General features: G+C 57.5%; 1 protein-coding gene across 3 annotated transcripts in view, besides 1 other annotated feature; it reads left to right on the forward strand.

Annotated features, from left to right (window-relative positions):
* Nucleotides 1–20,857, forward strand: part of COL5A1 (collagen type V alpha 1 chain) — a 203,041-nt gene that overhangs the window by 58,520 nt on the left and 123,664 nt on the right. For all 3 annotated transcript variants that reach the window (NM_000093.5, XM_017014266.3, NM_001278074.1), the window contains exon 4: nucleotides 849–1,011. In NM_000093.5, the coding sequence (NP_000084.3) occupies nucleotides 849–1,011 (163 nt within the window). The remainder of the gene's footprint in view (nucleotides 1–848; nucleotides 1,012–20,857) is intronic.
* Nucleotides 7,979–8,546: an enhancer, noted in NCBI's record as "H3K4me1 hESC enhancer chr9:137600147-137600714 (GRCh37/hg19 assembly coordinates)". NCBI's record gives its function as "activates a minimal SCP1, AML or CMV promoter by ChIP-STARR-seq in primed H9 embryonic stem cells {active_cell/tissue: H9 hESC(primed)}" and the evidence as "EXISTENCE:reporter gene assay evidence [ECO:0000049][PMID:30033119]".

Genomic DNA, 20,857 nt, shown 5'->3' on the forward strand with positions numbered 1-20,857 from the left:
TGGGGAGTCACTTCTCCTCCCTGGCCCTCCATTATCCCTTTGTAAAGTGCACTAAAGCACATCAAATTCCCGCCTGTTTGTGTCAGAAGGGACACAGGAAATTGTGAGGTTATACCCAACCTTTTCCAGAAAGGATTTCAGGTATCCTTCAAGGACACAGGTGTGTTAGGAGTGGGAGTGAGCATGAGAAAAAGCGGGTCGTGCCAGCACGCTCTGTTGGGTGCAGACCTCAACACCAGGGGTTGTCAGTCTCCTCTTTCGTGGTCAGCACGTGTGAGGTCATGCCCTGATAATCTCCGAACGTCTTCAATACATGATTTCTGAATTCTTCGCCAAGACTTTCAGACAGATCCACTCCTTCCACCATTTCCCGTCCACACCCGGTCTTCTCTGGCTGCCTGCAGTTTGCCATCGGGGTTCAGAGGGCACGTGACAAGTGCTCGCATGCACACAGCAAAATACAACGGCCGCCGCCCTGCCATTCTCCCGATGGCTGTGACCGCACCGCAGGGACCACGCTCCCAGGGACCACACTCCTGGGTCCCGAGCCAGTGCCGAGTGCTGTGTGCTCCCCCTTCCCCCTTTCACTTGGGCTCCCGGCTGGGCTTCCAGGGTTCAGACAGCCATCCTTGTCTGAGGGACGAGGGTTCTGGGGAATGAGTAGATCTCATGGCACGGGGTGTTGCCCTAACTTGTCTGATTCCAGAGGCTGGGCCTTGATCTGCTCCGCCCCACCACGATCGTGCAGGAAGTGGGCCTTCTTCCTGTGTCTCGAGGAATTTGCAGCAAAATTGCTTGAGCTGGCATCTGTGATCCAAGCCCTGTCTTCACCATCTGTTTCTTTGCAGGTGGCACAGAATTGCTCTCAGCGTCCACAAGAAAAATGTCACCTTGATCCTCGACTGTAAAAAGAAGACCACCAAATTCCTCGACCGCAGCGACCACCCCATGATCGACATCAATGGCATCATCGTGTTTGGCACCCGGATCCTGGATGAGGAGGTGTTTGAGGTGAGCAGGAGGGCAGACCAACCCCTGTGCCCACCAGGGCACTCCTCCTGTGGAGCCACTGTGACTGCTGTTGGAGGAGGCTCCTCGGGCCGGGACCGGCTGGCGGTCCACTGTGGTCACCGTCTCTGTTGGTCAGAAGCCTCTGCTGCCATCCTAAGAGATGTTTGTGGCTTTCGGAAATGGAGGGGCCAGAGCTGCTGCCGCCTGTAGGCCGCGTGGGGATGGCAGTGGCCGCCCTTGTCCCAAGGGCCCAGTACGTGAGTCTCCTGGGTGCTGGCTCGGAAAGGACAGGGCCTTTGTCCAGCCTCGTGCTGAGGCTCCTGGAAACCTGCACACTCCTGCCGTCTGTATCCGAGGCCATCCTGGGACAGGGGCAGCTGTCCTCTGGGTGAGCTTGAAGGGCAGAGCTGGGCCACCGTGTGGACGCACCAGGGAGACCTGTGCCGACCCAACTCGGGCTGGCCTCACTCCAGTCTAGCTGTGTCCAGCCAGGGGCCTTGCTTTCCCGGGGAATGCCTCAGAGGCTTGGGAGTCGGGGCCTGAGCTGAGTGGGCTCTGGGACCCTCACTTCAGCCCATGGAGCCCTTCATAGGTTGGGGTTCTGCGTGAGAGAGCAGGAGAATGCCCCGTCCCACTGCCAAGAAACAGGTTGAGAGCTTCTGCAGGTGACCAGTGATCCCCAGCTGCCCCGGGTGGGGGCGTTGGAGTCACCAGGAGCCTGTAGGGGTTCCAGGGCCCTGCCTCCTGGGGTGCTGGGGCGACAGCCTGCACAGGGTCCTGGACTCTGCCCTTCCCAAGGGCACTGCAGTGACCGTTGCCTCCGCGGCTTGGGTTAGGCGGCAGCCAGGACCCCTCCACTGGGCTTCCTTGTCGTTTATGTAAGTTGGGTTTTGCAGAAGATTTGGTTTTGCACCCGGGTCTCTGTGGCTAAAACCTGTTCGAAAGCCACTGGCTTAAATGGCCTCCGAGGGCCATCCTGGCTCTGGGATTTCCTCCTCCAGGGCTGCAGAGATGGGACAAGTTAGGGCAGTGTCTCCTCCCTAAATCCCCGAGCGCTGCCGTGAGCTCCTGGCTGTGTCTACACATCGGTTCTGCATCCGGCTGCCCCCGTTTCATGGCTGAGGTGGGGTCCCCAGGGCCATGTTTCTTCTCGGTGACTCGGGGTCACCAAACCAGACACCGTGTTGACTCAATCTTGGTGTTCTGCCAAGGGCACGCGAAGGAGACATCACACGTACTAGTTCATTTCTGTGTTAAAGATATCGATGTCTGCTCGTGGGGACGGGCACGGTTGAACTGACCCTGGGGCTTTGAGCGTGTGAGAAGAGGGCAATTCTGAAAGTCTCACCTTTCTAGGAAATCATACTGGGGACCACGTAGTGTCACTGTGAACTGGACATTCAGCAGAGTGCTGGCCTCAGGGCAAGCCCACCTGGGCTCTGTCGATTGTTGGATTTGGGCCTCGGGCAAGCTGCTCTGCTATTTCTCTGTCTTAGGGTCTCCGTCTGTAAAATGGGATCACAGATGTGGCTGCTTCATGAGCTGTGGCAAAGGTTCCATGAGGTTGAATGCAGTGACACAGCAGCGCACTGTCTCCCTTATAGGAAGCCCCGGCTTAATGTCAAATTCAGTTGTTCTGGATATTAATACAGTGTCAAGGCAGACAGAAAGGCAGGACACAGCCCCGCGGCCCAGTGCAGACCGCAGAGGAATGATCAGAGCAGCCACGCTCTGTGGAATGAGATGGGCCTGTTAGAAGAAGGCAGGGAGTAGGTGTGAAGGTGGTGGAGATTCTGCTGAACGTGCAGTTGGCTCTGGGTCAGTTTCCAGGAAGCTGTAGCCTGGGGCTTCGGTAGAGCAGGGCGGGTGCTTGGATCCTGCTGGCACAGCCAGATTTTGCAAGCTATTGAGACACACCCTCCGGGCACACTTCTGAACAGACCTGCCTAGGCGCCTGGAAGGAACTGCGGGCACAGGAGCCGTCCTCAGCCAGGCAGGAGGCAGCTTCTGGGCTATTCTGGGGAGCTGGGGTTAAAAGCTGCCTTGGAGTCACACAGACTGGGATCAAGTGCTGGTTTTGCCTCTTGCTGGTGGGAGGATCTAGGCAAAGCAGGTGACATTGATGAGCTTTGAGACTCATTTGTAAAACATTGGTCACAGTAAGGCTACCTGCACAGCTGCAGGGGAGGTTCTGGGCTTGGCCTGGGCACCTGCCAGAGTCACCCCCACCGCTGCCTGTTGTTCTGTGGGTCGAGGCCCTGCCTCTGGATGGGAGGCCACGCGGTGGCCTCGGGTTTTTTTTTTTTTTTTTTTTTTTTTTTTGAGACGGAGTCTCGCTCCGTCGCCCAGGCTGGAGTGCAGTGGCACGATCTCGGCTCACTGCAAGCTCTGCCTCCCGGGTTCACGCCATTCTCCTGCCTCAGCCTCTCGAGTAGCTGGGACTACAGGCGCCCGCCACCACACCCAGCTAATTTTTTTTGTATTTTTAGTAGAGATGGGGTTTCACTGTGTTAGCCAGGATGGTCTCGATCTCCTGACCTTGTGATCCGCCCGCCTCGGCCTCCCACAGTGCTGGGATTGCAGGCGTGAGCCACCGCGCCCGGCCTCAGGGTTTTAATGTTTGTCATGCAGTCTCTTTTTTGTGCTGTGTCAAATCTTTGTAATTTCTAGTGTGTTCTGTTGTAAAGATTCAGGAAAAAGCTTTATTTTATCTTTAAAAAATTAGGATCCTAAAACAAATAGTGCTTCATTGATATTCTAACTGAGCAGGAAAAGCTGTTTTCCCAAAAGCAGATGTATGTGAAGAGTCCCTTACCCCAGGGAAGCACTAGAAATCCGTGTTCAGGGCTGGGTTTGCATCCTGGCTCCACTGTTTCCCAGGGGTGAGATCTTCGGTGAGTTGTCTGACCGCTCCGAGACTCAGTTTCCCCATCTGTAAAATGACAATAATAGTACCCGCCGCAGTTTTGTGTGTGTGGGAGGCACCGTGAGAATTAATCCATGAAAAATGCCTATGAGTGGCCGACAGCAAACATGCCAGAGTTTACCTCCTTTATCAGCAAAGGATGAAGGTAACGTGTGGTTTTCAAAAGGAAATGGCTCTTGAATGGAGGAGGCTGTTTTCCTACCCTGGCTTGTTCTTCCAGGGAACCGTGCAGGTCTCACTCTGCAGCTGGCGCCTGGCAGGCTTCTGGTCGAACGGTAAGTCACAGATAGGTTCCGAATTCTGTGTTCCTGGTGAGCCATTTTTTCCTGTCGTGGAATTCGATTTGAGCCAGAGTGGCTGCCAGGAACGAGAGGTTTTTATTGACCACAAGTTGTTAATGGTCTGGAGGAGGTGTTTTCCTAGCCCCAGAGTTTCCTGGCTGTTAGCTGTGCTCACGTTGGAAAATTGGACCTGTCTTTCTTAATGAAGTCCAGCAGGATCAGCGATGCCTTCAGCTGCCCCAAGCATCTTTTCTTTTTTTTTTTTCCCTTAACAGTGTGAGGAGGAAGTTCGGTGAGTTGGCCTCAGAGTCCCAGCCACCTTTTGTCTCATTGCAAGTGGAAGAGAATTTCTATTTCTTTTGAAGTAAAAGTGATTTATCTCTGCTTTCCAGCGGGCTCTGCATAACGACACCTCCCATCTCAGTCGCTTGGCTGCTCTAGAAGGCTCTAAAAATGAGGGGCTGGCACTGTTGAGACATATTCCTCCAGCAGCCCCAATCTTCCCCTGGAAGGACAACTTCCGCTCATTCAAAGCCAATCTGTTCTGTGTTTAGAGTTATACTGAACAAGGATTCACCAAACTCTAAGAGAGTTCGTTTAAACAGGGACTGGGGGTTTTTCCTGGGGTGTCTGTGGCCCCACAGAGGCCCCCTTTGTCCAAAGTGATGCGCCCTTGAGGGACAGAGGGAGATAGAGACTCTCAGGGCCAAGACACATGTGTCTCCTGCAGTGCAAGGCCAGGGCTAACGGCTGGTGCTGTGCCCGCAGCCTCCCTGGGTATAGACGCGGAGCCTGAGTGTGTGGCTTTGGCCGTGTCAGCAGCCCCCTGCGCCTGCAGACCAGGCCCTCACTGCCTCCCAGCCCCTGAGTCTGGTTCTAGTGGGGCAGCCTTGCCATGCAGGGGAGGTGGGACACTGCTGTCCCTCACAGAGCCACGTACGGAGGAAGTGATGGGCATGGAGGGCATTCTGCCGGCAGGTCCCCCCAGCCTTGGACTTCCTTCCCTGCTGGTGACTTGGAGCCCCGTGTCCTCATCTGTAAAATGGGGCGATAGGGCCAACGCTGTCGGATTTTGGGTTGGTGAGATCAAATCTGTGTTAGATGTGAGTACCTCCAAGGGCCGCAGGGAACCACCTTGTCCTGGGTCTTTGGCGGTGAGAGCTGCTCTCTGGCCCATTGTCAGTGGTCATCTGCCAGTGACAATGGGCCAGAGGTGGCCCATCGTCCACAGTGGCACTGTCATGAGCTGTCCCTTTTCTCAGCTTTTCTGGACTCCCCTTATGAATTAGATGCTGTGAGTCCTGCCATAAAGATGAGACCCCTGGGCCTTCAGGAGGATGGAGCCGCTGAGAGGTCCATGGGGAAAGAACTGGCTGAGGGTCCCGCCAGCCCCAGCTAGGGCGAGTGCTCCGGGGCGCCTCCTGCCCGTACCTGCACCTGCCATCACAGCAGCCCCTCAGCAAGGTTTGGGTTCGCAGGCCCCTGTCCTCCTCCCCTGGCAGAGTGCCCCTGTGGAGCTGGCAGGAGATCCCCCTGGCATGGGCTGTGTCTCCTAGGATGGGGTGGGATGGCCAAGCCCTCTCATGCTGCCTGTTCCCAGGGCGAGTATGCCGGAGCTGCCTGGGACATTGTCCTGGGAAGTTCTCATCCCAAGTCTTGTCCCTTCTGGATGTGCCGGTGCCCTGGGGCCAGCACTGGTGTCAGAGGAGGACTCAGGGCATTGCTCCCTAAGCCCCAGGTTTCCAGAGGTGCTGGGCAGGCCCAGGACCACCGTGCAGGAAGGGGAAGGCAGAGGGGCTGGGCTCCCCCCAGTGCAGGAAGGTCTTTTTATCCAGGGCATAGTCAGGAACGAGCTTTGTGTTTTCAGAAACATGGCCTCAGTGGCCAGGGTGAGCATGGGGCATCCTGCAGAAGGTGGGGATGTGTGAGTTATCTTCACAGGCAAGGAGAAGGCGGATGGGAGAGCAGCCAGGGCCCACCCCCACTGTGCCCTGGAAGAAGAGAGTCTTGCTGCCACTTCATAGCTTGGGAAGCCAGCACCAGGGAGGTTGAGTCACTTGCCTAAGGTCACTCAGCAACATGACAGCAGATTGGGACCTCGGAAATCATGACACAACTGTCCCCAGCCTGGAAGGGATCCCGGGGACCAGTGGCAGGAGACTGGACTCAGGCTGGCCTGACAGCACTGTGGGCCCCCGCCTGGCATTCTGTTCTCCTAGCCCTCCCCGCACAGGCCCTGAGGACCCTGGAGTCCCCTGGCCCATGGGGTCTGTGAAACTCTGGAACCTTCCAGGAAGAGCCAGCATAAGCTGTTAGCAAGGGCAGAGGGCCCAAGAGTGTCCCTCCCGTGTGTGACAGGTGACCTGGACCCGCCTAGCCCCTGTCCCAGCACCTTCCCCAGCCTGTGGCGGGCAGCACGGGGCTACCTGGCTGCTGATCCGGAGGGCTCCATGCACCTCTCTAGAGTCTCACCTCATCTATGGGCCCTGAGCTGGCCCAGTGAGCCACGTCAGGGAGGCTGGGAGGCGGGACTAAGAGGGGGCCTGGGGTGCCTCTGCCTTGAGGCCTGCCGTGGAAGGCCCCTCCTCTGTGGGTGAGCTATGACCAGGAGGGGGGCCGTGGAGGGGATGAGAACTGCCCCGGGGGACAGCCGGCCAGCGAGTTCTGGGCCAGGAGCCAAATGTGCTTTTAAGCTGTTGAAGGTTTCAAGGGGCAACAAGACCAAACAGACTATAAACTCCAGCTCTCCCTGCAAAACCCCTGGGTGCTGGCGGGAAAGTGATGGCGTCGGCTCCAAGCTCTAACGGTCCTCCATCTGTCTGCCTTCATTTCAGCCTTTGAAAAACACCGAGCGGTTTACCTAATCCCTGATTCCCTTTTTCCAGGGGCCTGGCTTTTCCACTGACATGTTCTTTCTGGAATTTCACTCTCCCCGGGGCAGGAGTGGGGCCTGTGCTGAGTGGGCCTTTCTCAGCCATCCACGGAGGCACCCTGGGATTCCTGTGAGTGGGAACAGAGGAGCCCTGGGATTCCTGTGAGTGGGAACGTCCCCCAGGGCGTCAGGCCCTTCAGTGTTAGGGCCTCGAAGGGGAGAGCAAGGGCTTTGTTAGAGGCCCAGGTCCACGTTTGCTGTAACTTCCCAGGCTGGGGCCTTTGGAGCCTCTGGATCCTTCCAGAACTACCTTGTTGCTCACTGGCTTGCTGACGGCTGCCTGGGCTGCCTGTGGGACACAGCAGGTAGGACTCAGGCTTGGGTCTAGGGCAGCTCTGGAGCCCGCAGCCCATCACTGGGCAGCCGGGGAAGCCCCAGGGGAGGGAAGCGCAACCGTGAAGATGAGCAGACTTCCCGGCACACAGGCGGGCGAGACTGGGTGCTGAGCTGTGTGCGGCTGGCGGCTCCGGGACGTGAGGGGATTCTGCTGAGGACCTTTCCTCCTGGTCGGGGGAGGGCTGCGGAGCTGGGAAAACCCACCTCGCCAGACCTTCCCTGGGCCCTGCTGCTCAGCCTCTGCTGGATGAGCTGCGTTCCCCTGTGAGAGGACTGGGGAGGTGTCCGGGGAGGGAGGGCTTTCCCCGCCTTGGAAGCTGCCCAGAGGGGCACATTTGGGGGGCTGGCTGGGCCAACTCTGACTTCGGACATGAGATGGATGTGATGTGTGCACCTGGGCAGGGCAGGGCACTCCACCGCCTCGGGCAGCCCCAGGCACCCTGCTATGTCGTCTCTGTGCCTCCATCACTGGCCAGGCAGCATGGATAGGCCAGGTGTCCCTCTGCCAGGGCTTCTCGGAGGCAGTGTGTGCCTGCCCCTCCCGAGTCCTGGCCCAAGTCCCTGCTGCTGCCTGGCCAGTGCGCCTGCCATTGCGGCTCAGAGCAACTCCCGGGGTGGGGGCTCTGGTGCACCTGCACTGACACAGGACACTGTCACCCTTCTAGGTCCTCGGTCCAAGACCCGCATCTACCCAGCCCTGCTGTCTCCTTAGCATCCACTGGTGCTTTCTGTAGGATCCACCTCCGCTGTCTCAGGCCACCTGTGTGGCAGCCCAGACCCCACCCTGGCAGTGCTGAGGCAGCCCCTGGCAGCGGAACACCAGCAGGTGAAGGGCAGAGGCCCCTTGTCGTGTCTTCAGCTCTGCCTGCTTTGCTGAGACCTCCTCTTGCCCCTGGAAGGGACAAGGACATTGCACTCTGCATGATCTCCTGGGACTGCTGCAACCAACTGTCACAGCCCGGTGGCAAACAGCAGAGATTTATCCTCTCCCAGCTCTGGGCCAGAATTCCAAGATCGAGGTGTGGGCGGGGCCGTGCTCCCTCTGAAGCTTCCAGCGGGGGACTCTGCCTGCCGCTTCCAGCCCCGGGTGGCCCCAGACACTCCTTGGCTTGTGGCCACGTCGCCCCAGCTTCTGCCTCCGTCTTTACACAGCCTCTCTCTTCCCCCTGTGTCTCTCTGTGTGACCCACAAGGACATTTGTCGTTGGATTTAGGGCCCATCCTAATCTAGGATGTTCCCATTTCCAGATCCTTCATTCCATCTGCAGTGATCTTATTTCTGGACAAGGTCACCTGTGGATCTAGATTCTGGGAGTTCCGACCTGGACCCATCCCTCGGGGCCATGATTCAGCCACTTCCCTACACCAGCGTGGAAAAGGGGTTTTTCGTCTCTTAAATTGCCACAGAGCACGTGTGCTTAAAAGTGAGCCTCTGGGCATGCATATTTGGGGCCTCTAGCTGAGGCTTCGGGGTGGGCTGCTGAGCTGTGCCTGGCTGAGGAGGGGTGGGGGGGCTACTCCTGGCTAGCAGGCGGTTGGCCAAGCCCCGTGGGCATCTCCCTGGTGCAGTAGGCAGCTGCCTGGCTGGCTGGAGCCAGTGTGCAGTGTGGCATTGGGGTGCAGTTTGGTATCGGGGTGCATTCTCATTTGCAGTTCTGGTCTAGGGAGGCCTGAGTGGTGAGCGAGTGAGGCCTGGACTCCTTCCTGCTGCAGGTGGCTGGTGACCCGCCTGGTAGGTGCCAGTGACCCTGCTGGTGATCTGTGTGGCACCCAGCAAGGAGGGGTCCAGAGACCCCACAGGGTTGGGCAGGGCCTGCCTCTTCCCATGTGCTGTGGGGCCTGGCCCCTCCTGCTGCCTGGCCCGAGGTTTGGGCTTCAGGTTTGTTCCATGGAAAATGTGAGCCACAGACCCATCTCCCAGCCCAGACAGGAATGATGTCATCTTGGGAGCCGGCCTTATCCAAAGATATCTTGCTGGGCTGACGGCGGATGTTCTGATCCACAGTTCCCAGAAGATGGCACTGAGGGTCTCTGGGAAGGGACGCATGATGCTGGAGGGTCTCTGGAGGGGAGTGCCCAGGGCAGGCAGGGCTGCGGTGGAGGGGGAGCAAAGGGGCAGGGCGTCCCCTGTGGGAGGGTCCAGTGGCTGGGGGAGCCGCCCACCTGAGCGGAGGAGCTGCCCTCACACGGCTGACGGGCGAGGGGGCCCACGAACGTGATGTCCTTCTTTAGCACCGTGGCCAAGGGGGCATCTGAGGGAGCCGCAGTCAAGCCCCAGCCCTCCGCCCATCCTTCCCATGGCTTTGAGCCAGCCTGAACCTCAGTTTCCTCAGCTGGAAAGTGGGGATGTTAGGCTTGTGGTGCGGATGAAAGGAGGCAAAGCCGGTGCGGCCCGCCCCGTGCTCACTCAGCGTGGTGGCAGGTGCGCCGCTGTGTGCTGGCAGGCTCTCCTGCCCGCGCGAGACGGTGGCTGTTGTGATGATGATGATGGTAGTCATAGTGATTGTGCAGTATTTTCATAGCATCGCCGTCAGTGCCGTTAACCCTGTCTCATTGAAAGGGGTGTGAAGGGTCTACAAGCTCAGTGGGCAGGTAGGGGAGCCAGGACCTAAGCCTGCTCCCCATCGAGACGCCCCGTCTGTTGGGTGCAGTGGTGGGGGAGGGGCCCCGTTTAGTGCAGTGGTGGGGGAGGAGCCCCATTTGTTGGGTGCAGTGGTGGGGCAGGGGCCCCATTTGTTGGGTGCAGTGGTGGGGGGGCCCCATTTGTTGGGTGCAGTGGTGGGGGGGCCCATTTGTTGGGTGCAGTGGTGGGGGAGGGGCCCCATTTGTTGGGTGCAGTGGTGGGGGAGGAGCCCCCGTCTGTTGGGTGCAGTGGTGGGGAAGGGGCCCCATTTAGTGCAGTGGTGGGGGAGGAGCCCTATTTGTTGGGTGCAGTGGTGGGGGAGGGGCCCCATCTGTGGGGTGCAGTGGTGGGGGAGGGGCCCCGTCTGTTGGGTGCAGTGGTGGGGGAGGGGACCCCATCTGTTGGGTGCAGTGGTGGGGGAGGGGCCCCATTTAGTGCAGTGGTGGGGGAGGAGCCCTATTTGTTGGGTGCAGTGGTGGGGGAGGGGCCCCGTCTGTTGGGTGCAGTGGTGGGGGAGGGGCCCCGTCTGTTGGGTGCAGTGGTGGGGGAGGGGCCCCGTTTGTTGGGTGCAGTGGTGGAGAGGCCCGTTTGTTGGGTGCAGTGGTGGGGGAGGGGACCACTTGGGGGGGCAGCCACATGGGAAGCCGGGAAGGGAGCTCCCACAGCTGGTCTCTGTCTTCCACAGCTGGCCTCCGCCTCTGGGCATGAATTGTTCGGTCGGTGGTTTGGTGCCTGGAAGAAGCCCCTGTGGGCCTGCAGAGTCAGCTCGGAGGCCAGGTTGGCTCTGTTTCTCCCCCGTCTAAGGGAGGCTGCCTGGCTCTTCCCCAGACCCAAGCAGACGGTCCAGGTGGTCAGGCCGGTGACACCCCACTTGCAGGGCCTGGGTGCTGTCGTATAGACCGTGCGCCTGGGGTGTGGGGCTGTGTCTTGCCAGCCAGGTGTGCTAATGAGTGAGTCTTGATCCCAGAGCACATGGAAAATCTGTCTCAGAATCACTTTTCTGCCAGCACCCTCCAGTCTGTTTGAAGATCCAGCAGTTGGGAAGGGCTGCTCTGTTCTACCACTGCACCCCATGGTGCCCAAGCACTAGGCTGGATGGGGCACTGGGGGCTGGTGCAGTGGCCACCGCTTGTTCAGAAAACCCAAGGCTCCGAGATGGAGGTAAAGCCAGAGAGGTAAAGCCACCTGCCCACAGTCACACAGCTGGGAACAGTCAGGGCAGGACTTCAGCCCAGGCCTGGATCTTTCTGGGTTAAGAGTTCCCATACTTAGGTGAAGAGGGGCACGGCTTGGGGTCCCGGATAGGAGGCTTCTGCCTGGGTCCTGTCTCCTTATTCTCATGACCCCTTCTTGCATCTCCTGATCCAAATCCCCGCTCTTCAGTCACATCTCCTGTGTCCCCTTTCAGCGTCTCGTTCTCCAGCCCCATAGAGCCACTGCCTGGCCCTCCCCGCAAGTGGATGGCGCTGGGCCTGAGTCTCACACCCTGGACTCCTGGGCCTGTCTGTGAGTGCCTGACAGGAAGTGAACCCCCTTTACCCTGGCCCCCTTCCTGTCCCCACTCCTTCCCCCTCCTTCCTGTCCCCCTCCTTCCTTCCCCCCTTCTTCCTGCCCCCTTCTTCCTTCCTCCCTCCTTCCTGTACCCCTCCTTCCTGCCTTCCTTCTTCCTATCCCCCTTCCTTCCTTCCCCCTCCTTCCTGTTCCCCCTCTTTCCTGTCCTCCTCCTTCCTGCCCATCTTCTTCCTTTCCCCCCTCCTTCCTGCCCCCTTCTTCCTTTCCCCCCTCCTTCCTGCCCCCTTCTTCTTATCCCCCTTCTTCCTTCCTCCCCCCTCCTTCCTGACTCTCTTCTTCCTGTTCCCCTCCTTCCCCCTTCTTCCTGTCCCCCCTCCTTCCTGTCCCCCTCCCTCCTGCCCCTCTTCTTCCTGTCCCCTCCTTCCTTCTTCCCTCCTTCCTGTCTCTCGTTATCCCTGTCCCTGTTCCTTCCTTCCCTACTCCTTCCTGTTCCCCCTCCTTCTTATTCTCCCTCCTTCTTGTCCCCCTCCTTCCTATTTCCCCTCCTGCCTTCCCTCCTCCTTCCTGTCCCCCTTTCTTCCTGCTCCTCTCCTTCTTGTCCCCCGTCCTTCCTGAGCCCCCTTTCTGTCCCCCCTCCTTTCTGCCTCACTTCTTCCTGTTGCCCCTCCTCCCCTCCCCCTTCCTTCCTGTTCCCCCTCCTTCCTGTTCCCCCTCCTTCCTTACCCCTTCCTTCTGCCCTCCTCCATCCTGCCCCTGGCTTTTCTGCTTCCCTTTCTTCTTGCCCCCATCTTTCCTGCCCCTTTCTGGCCCTAGACCCTGGTGCTTCTCATGTTCAACCCTGAGTTGCTGCTTTTTGTTCAAATGGCCCCACCCTGTTCTCTGCTGGGGTTTCCTTGACCACGGGGACCAGGTCTCCCCTGGACGCCTTTTTCCAGGTGCCCCCAGCCCATACCCATCCTGGCTCTGTCCGCAAACCTGTCCTCCAGAAGGGCCTGTGGGTGACCAGGCTGCAGCCGGGGACTCCCAGCACTCCTGGAGCCCTGGACTCTCCAAACCAGGCGTGATTCCCGCTGTGCTCCACGGCCTCTCTCCAGAGCCCTGGCTGCCTGCCGTCCATGCCTCTGGGAGGCTGTGTGTTTGGAAATACTTTTTGGAGCTGAGAAGTGCAGGTTTTCCTGCGAGCTAGCCACGTGGCCTCACCCTGCCCTTCTCCTGTCCGATAGTGAGTTTTACCCTAGAGGCAGTTTGAGCCACGCCACGTGGTCTTCTTAGCAGGATGCCTGAGCCCTACCCCACTGGCTTCATGCTGTCAGGGAGGCTGGGTCACAGGCCCATTTACTCACTGCAGGGTGTGATGGTGGGGAGCATGTGGAGCAGCCTGGCTCCTAACATAACCCCAGAGCGCTCCTCCCTCCCAGTCTGCAGCCACAGCAGGGCTGTGTGCGCTCCACAGAGAAGTGAGGGTCTTCCTGACGATGGTTGATTTGCAGAGACACCCGGGAGTTGCATCTGTCACTGTCCCATCACAGGTAAAGCCACCTTACTCTATTGGTTGACAGAATGAAGACTCAGAAGATCTTTCAAGCTGGGACTATGTTCTCGAACTGAGAAAATGAAATTCAATCAGGATAAACGTGAGCTTCTGCACTTGGGTTCAAAACAATCAATTGTACAAGCGCAGGGCCAGGAGAAGCGGCAGTGAAGTGTTTTATATGAAAAAAACTTAGGGGTTTGTGGGTGTCAAACCCATTAACGATCATCAGTGTGGTGTGGCGGCCACAGGAATGCACGCTGTCACAGGTGGCGTTAGGGACAGAGGGCAGGGTGATCTCAGGTCTGGAAACTGTGCTGAACAGAAGCTGAATAGAAAGAACTGGGGTCTGAACCCGGGACAGAGAAGGTGGGTGGAGTGGAGAGTGGGTGGCCCCAGTGTGGGGTCTTGTCCAGAGGAGAGGGGATGAGACCACAGCAGACTGAGACCAGTGATGGGATGTGAACCTTGTAGCAGCCACCTTCTCCTCCTCCAGGCCCAGCTCTGAGCAACCTTCTCCGTGACGCTCTCCTTGACCTCCCAGGCAAAGTCTGTTGCTTCTGTGCTGCCTCCCAAGTCTTCTCCCTTGAGACTTACAGTCAGAGACCCAGATTTTTTTCATCTTTATGTCCCTAAGACTTATCAGAGAGATGCAAAAAATACTGGTTGAATGAACAAAAGAATGAACAATCAGAGCTGGTTGCCTTCCTGCAGGCCTTCATGCTACAGAGGCATGTTCGGGAAAGGCTGGTGAGCCTTTCTCAGGGATCCAGGACTGTTGATGATGGTGGTGGTGGTGGCGGAGGAGGTGGTGGTAGTGATGATGGTCATAATGATGCTGATGGTGGTGATATTAATGGTGAGTATGATGATGATGATAACAGTGGTGTGGTGGTAATGGTCATGATGGTAGTGATGGTGGTGGTGGTAGTGGTGGTGGTGAAGGTGATGGTGATGTTTATGGTGGTGGATATGCTGATGATGGTGATGGTGGTTGTGATGGTGTGATGCTGGTGAAGGTGGTGGTGGAGGTTAAGGTGGTGAAGGTGGTGATGCTGATGAAGGTGGTGGTGGAGGTGATGTGGTGGTGATAGTGATTTTGGTGAAGGTGGTGGTGGAGGTGATTGTGATGGTGTGATGCTGATGAAGGTGGTGGTGGAGGTGATGGTGGTGGTGGTGGTGGAGGCGATGATAGTGGTGGTGGTGGTGATGCTGGTGAAGGTGGTAGTGGAGGTGATGGTAGTGGTGGTGATGCTGGTGGAGGTGGTGATGGAGGTGATTGTGATGGTGTGATGCTGGTGAAGGTGGTGGTGGAGGTGATTGTGGTGGTGGTGGTGGTGGTGGAGGCGATGATGGTGGTGGTGGTGATGCTGGTGAAGGTGGTAGTGGAGGTGATGGTAGTGGTGGTGATGCTGGTGAAGGTGGTGGTGGAGGTGATTGTGGTGGTGATGGTGATTCTTGAAGGGTGGCCTGCCCCACCACACCTGTGGGTGTTTCTCGTTGGGTGGGACGAGAGACTGAGAAAAGAAAGAGACACAGAGACAAAGTATAGAGAAAGAAAAATGGGCCCAGGGGACCAGCGCTCAGCATACGGAGGACCCCTGCCAGCACCAGTCTCTGAGTTCCCTCAGTATTTATTGATCATTATCTCTACCATCTCAGAGAGGGGGATGTGGCAGGACAATAGGGTAATAGTGGGGAGAGGGTCAGCAGGAAAACGTGAACAAATGTCTCTGTATCATAAGTTTAGAAAAGGTGCTGTGCTTTGATGTGCACATACATAAACGTATCTGGTGCATTAAAGAGCAGTATGCCGCCAGCATGTCTCACCTCCAGCCCTAAGGCGGTTTTCCTCTATCTCAGTAGATGGGATATACAATCCGGTTTTACACCAAGACATTCTATTGCCCAGGGACGAGCAGGAGACAGATGCCTTCCTCTTATCTCAACTGCAAAGAGGCCTTCCTCTTTTACTAATCCTCCTCAGCACAGACCCTTCATGGGTGTCAGTCTGGGGGATGGTCAAGTCTTTCCCTTCCTATGAGGCCATATTTCAGACTATCACACGGGGAGGAACTTTGGACAATACCTGGCCTTCCTAGGCAGAGGTCCCCGCGGCCTTCTGCAGTGTTTTGTGTCCCTAGGTACTTGAGATTAAGGAGTGGTGATGACTTTTAACAAGCATGATGCTGCCTTCAAGCATTTGTTTAACAAAGCACATCCTGCATAGCCCTAAATCCATTAAACCTTGAGTCGACACAGCACATGTCTCTGCGACCACAGGGTTAGAGGTAAGGTTACAGATTAACAGCATCTCAAGTCAGAAGAATTTTTCTTAGTACAGAACAAAGTGGAGTCTCTTATGTCTACTTCTTTCTACATAGACACAGCAACAGTCTGATCTCTCTTTCTTTTCCCCACAATTCTGGTGAAGGTGGTGATGGAGGTGATGATAGTGGTGGTGGTGATGCTGGTGATGGTAGTGATGAAGATGATGGTGATGCTGGTGGTGGTGGTGGTGGTGGTGGTGGTGATGATGTTAGTAGTGTGTTGGTTCTATGGTTTTGGTGCTGGTAGCACTGCTGGTGGTGGTCATGATGCTAGCAGTGTGGTGGTTCTGTGGTTTTGGTGCTGGTGGTGGCTGTGGAGGCTGTGCTAGTGGATGCTGATTGCTCTGGGGAGTGTTCTGGTGCAATCCCATTTAGTCCTCTGCTCTATGAGGTAGATCTTATTATCCTCTTTTATCAACAGATGGAGGCCTGGAGTAATTAGTCATACGCTGACATCCTCACAGATGACAAGGGAGGGACCCGGTGCCCAGGCCTCCTGTGGTCAGTGCCTTCCCTGTGCCATTCTTCTCGGGCAGTGCTGCCAAGGGTCAGGTGGCTTCCTTCTGGGGAGCCTGGACCGAGTGAACATCCCCTGTGCTCAGCGATGCCCCGTGTGCCATAAAACAGTGTCTGCAGGCCCGCTGCTCCGAAAGTCAAGATGTGGAGAAGGAGCAGCTCAAGCGTGCACTGCCCAAGCCACAAGTGCAGGCCTTTGTGAGGTCACCACCCTTTGGGTGGCGAGTCTTTGAGGAGGTGAACCCCCACCCTTTGGAGAGAGCAAGTCTTTGAGGAGGTGGACCTGCCCCCCAGCCCCTGCCATTGGTGCTGCCATTTCGTCCCTTGGTCTAGAGATGAGGCCCCCTCTCCGAGTTTGCTGAGCTGACCCTTCAGTCCCTGTGGCCAGCTTCAGGGTGTGCATGAGGCTGTGACCTGATCATGCCCCTTCTCTGCACCCATGCGGCCCACCCCCATGTTGGAGACACAGATGTGTCATTTTGCAGCCTTGCACCCAGAGCTGTTGTGAGTAGACTTGACCCTACACGTCTTGGGCTGGTGGCTGCAGGTGAGAATTGGACTGGGACTGGAGGCAGCGAGCGAGGACATGGCGGGGACAGCAGAAAGCAATTTCCGACGACATGAAAATATTTCTCTGACACTCTCGTTAATAGTGTGAAACTCGTTCTCACAGGTGCTGTGAAAACCATGGAAAAAATTATTTAGACCTCACTGGCTTGGGGGCATTTTGTTTTTCCATTTTGTATGACTCACGGATGAAGAACATCAAAGCGAGATTGTAAATGTGACTGGTCTGGCCCCTGGCAGCTGGAATGGGGGGATCTGGTGGTCTCCTACGTGCGCAGCGCTAAGGACGTCAAGGAAGTGCCTCGTGGAGAAGGGGCACCGGTGGCGTCCGGCCAGGCTGCTCTGGCAGTGTCTGTCAGAATCCGCCGGGCCCAGCGGGAGGGAAGCCCCGTGCAAGAGACTGCTGATGATGGCACTGTACTTGCGGGGAACGCAGTCGTGTTCTTAGCTCCTGTTTGCAGAGCCCAGGGCCAGACTCCACCCTCCCAGCAGCCTCTGGGGCCAGCGTTGTTCCATCCCCAGCTTCAGAAGGGGAAAGAATGGTTTAACGTGGTTTGCGAACACACCTGAGATCACTCAGCCAGCAAGGGGCAGGATTCAGATGTGGGCCCAGGTGAACCCAGCTCCAGACCCTAGCGCTGCCCGTGGCTCTCCCGGCCTCCGTCCCTCCCAGTCAGCGTGTTAACTCAGCTGGGCTGCGTTTTGTATGGGAGGTTGGACAACGTGCCCGCCTGCCAGGACAGGGGAGGTTTGTGGCAGGGCCTGGCAGTGGCAGAACAATCTCTCATGGACAACATGCTTGCCGACCGCTTCTCCCACAGCCTCGAACAAGAAGGGTTTGTCTTAAATAGTTATTTGTGTCTCTCTGTTTACCAGCACGAAGTGCTCTGGCTAAAATTAGATGATAAAGTCTGTGGGACAAGCAGAGTGCTCAGCTGGGATTCCTGTGGACCCTGTTTCGGTTGGACGAGGAGGGGGCCTGGGTGCCAGGCAGTCATGGGGGGGCTGGCTCAACCCAGGGATGGGGGATGGGGTTGAAAGGAGGAGTGCATGATTAAATGGCAGAGGAGGCACTGAGCATGCGATTAGAGGGAGCAGCAGCATGAGAAGCAGCCTGGGCTGGGGGGCCGCGGCCACGGGAGCCTCTAATTTGGTGAGGTCCATGTTTCCCGTCTCCATGGCTCCAGGCTTATGGGGCTCTCCAATGAAAACTTTGCAGTTTCCTCAGCTCACAACAGAGACGCAGCCTGGATACGGTCTCATTAGCAGAAAAGGCAGAACTGATTCTCTCAGCAAAATGCTCCCATCTCTGCCAGAGCCAAGGACAACATGCTCCCGCCGTGGCCGCCGACCCATCTTCCGTCGAACGTGGCCGCCAACTGTGCCGTGGGCAGGGGCTCTGCAGCAGAGCGGAATGGCCGTAATGACCCTGGCCTGGTGGCGGAAACTTCCAGGGCACTTTAATGACCTGGCAGGGGGCAGAATCCAGGAATGTAAAGGGGGAAAATGGTCAGTTATCAGAGCGAGGGATGGCATGAAAACAGCTGCCACCTGCTTCTTTGGGCAGCCACAGGGCCAGCTGTCTGGAGCCGCTGGTGCTGGGTCTTGGCTTTTAAAGTTGAGCAGAGTGGTTCAGGGGCTCAGCCCGGGAAGCCAAGACGTGGAACAGGAGAAGCCTGAATCTGCCAGGCGAATTGGGCAGGTGCCTGCCCCTGCTCCTAGGGCTGTGTGGGTGATGGGACAAAGTTTTGGGAACTGGGAGCCCACGGCCGTTCTGTGTGCAGGATGTGTGACTTGGCACGATGTCCTTGACTCCAAGGTGGGCAGCTCTGGGGTGGGGACTGTGGGGGCTGCAGGCAGAGACTCAGGAGCCCCAGTCAGCCCTCCTCCCATATGGCCTGCGAGAGTGGCGCTGCCTCTCAGACCCTCCATTGCTGCATCTGTGAAATGGGGATGGGAGAGTGGAAAGGAGACCTTGCCTTCCTCCTGGGGGGGCTGCAAGAATGGGAGTAGGGCCAGACCTGTAAGGAAAGTCTCTTTTGCCGAGGCGTGAGGTAGGGCTGGGAATTGGGTCAGTGTGAAACACCAGGGTCTTTCCCGAAGCATGCCGGGCACAGGCGGTGCACGCTGAGGATATCTGACATGTCAACACAACCTGTCACGTTGGAGCGGGGAAGTGGGGTGGGCTTAGGACAAGCAGCCTCAAAGAACTGTGGGCTGTTGTTGAGGGAGGGGACTGAGTCCCAGGCACCTCGGGGCCATCTCCAGTGCTGTGCCAGGACCCATGTGTGCCACACACATGCATACCTGTTCACATATGCACACAAGGCATGCCATACCATATACATATGCATAAAAGTGTGTGCATGCACCCATGTCACACATACACATGCATGTATACTGTGCACACGACGTAGGCATGTATGTCACGCACACACACCGCACATGTGAATGCAAAACATATGTGCACAGTACACATATGGCCTCCTGCACCCATGTGCACACCTGCATCAACACGGTACCGGACACATGCACGCACACGTATGTATGCACACACACAGTGACACAACACACCAGCCAACCCCAGATCCTGGCGCTTGGCCTGCAAGCGGGCCATGGGCCTACAAGTGTGGGGTTGCTGGCTGGGCTTCCCTGCGTCCAGTGGGTGTTTGGCCCTGCAGGAGGGCTGGAAAACAGCACGAAGAGGACAGCAGCAAGGGAGACCCAGCACTTCACACACTCATCTCATGGCCAGGGCAGGACAGGGGCAGGGCGGCACATCATGCTCCATATCCTGGGTGGTGATCGGCCTCTGCCTTTCCAGGGCAAGGGGGCGGCTCAGGAAGTAGGCGGCTGCCATCGTTGGTAAGAGGACGGAGGATGGGGAGAAAGCAATGAAGGGTGGAGAAGGGGCGTGTCTGAAGAAGGTCGGAGGTGACACCTATTGCCCTGCTCAGGGATTGGATGTGTGCCATGAAACCTGGCAGTTAGATGTGACATCAGAGGAGAGCCACAGGCCACTGCTGGGCAGGGCATCAGGTTGGTTCCTTGCGCTTGTGTGCCAGGGGCTCTGATAGCACCTGGGAGGGGGACTGTGGGGACCATGGGCCTTTCTGAGGTCGTGGTCAGGCTGCTTGGAGGTTCTTGGGGTCAAAGTCCACCCGTCTGAGAGGGCAGCTGCAGCTAAGAAATTCCTGGGGTGCCTCAGTGCCTCAGGAAGGGTCAGGGCACGGCCCACTGGGCAATTCTGACCTACAGCCGGCCTCTTAGAGACCCAGGGTTGGGTCCTGGAAGGCTGCAGGCTGAGGTCTCTCTGGGGTTTCTTTGGCTGTGCGTGCGCGTTGTGACCCAGCCCCAAGCTCCAGCTTCCTGTCCCCATCCCCTGAAAAGCCACGAGCTCACCCAAGCCCAAGCAGGGGCTGCCCACCAGCCCCTGGCCCTTTGTTTCCAGGCCGCCAGCACCTCCCGCCGGCCAGTGCCGGGCAAGGCTCCACCAGGAGAGGAGGCTTCATCGACCAATTTTCCTGGTCTGTAGTTTGGAGCTTGGTTTCATATCACAGGATGCACTGTGAAAATGCTCTCAGCATACAACATGAAGTCGTGATCCTAGCTTTGTATTTGAAAGACAGTGTGCGCCAGATTATGGCGGTCGGGCTGGGCATGTCCTCTCCAGCACACTGGGGAGTGGCTGCCGGAAGCCCTGGGTTGAGAAGGATTCTGAGGGCACCAGGGCAGAGTTCTGCCTAGGGCTTTCGTGAGCTTCGGGCAGAGCTGTGTGTTTGGTCCACACAGCCTGGAGGGGGTCAGGGGAGGCTGAGATTTCCTGTGATGAAATGGGGAGACTGTGGCTCCCAGGGGCTGGTTGCCTGGCTGGTAGGTGGCTGGGCTGGACGTCTCCACATGCTGACCTGGCTTCCAGAGAGGAGCCGACTCTGAGTGAATGTTCCAGAAGGAGGAGTGCAGGCTCAGGAACTGCCAGGGTACCACTGACAGAAGGAGGGGCGTCCCCGCATCCACAGCTGCCTTCAAGGTCTGTGAGGGGCGGCTCCAGGCCTGGCTGCATCTTAGAATCTCATGAGCAGTTATGGCTCCTGAATCCCAGTCCCCGCCAGACCCACCACATGGAGTCTCTGGGGATCCCAGGGTTCCGCGGGTGTCACCTGCTGGGTAGGACACAGTGTGTGGCTGCGCGTGAGTCAGGGAAGATGCCTCTCTCACCCTGGACCCATCACATCTTTCATCAGTCTAGTGATGGACACAGGTCTCAGGGATGCAGGAGGACTTCAGTGTGGC

Source organism: Homo sapiens, chromosome 9 (genome assembly GCF_000001405.40).
Source record: "Homo sapiens chromosome 9, GRCh38.p14 Primary Assembly".
NCBI classification, from domain to species: Eukaryota; Metazoa; Chordata; class Mammalia; order Primates; family Hominidae; genus Homo; species Homo sapiens.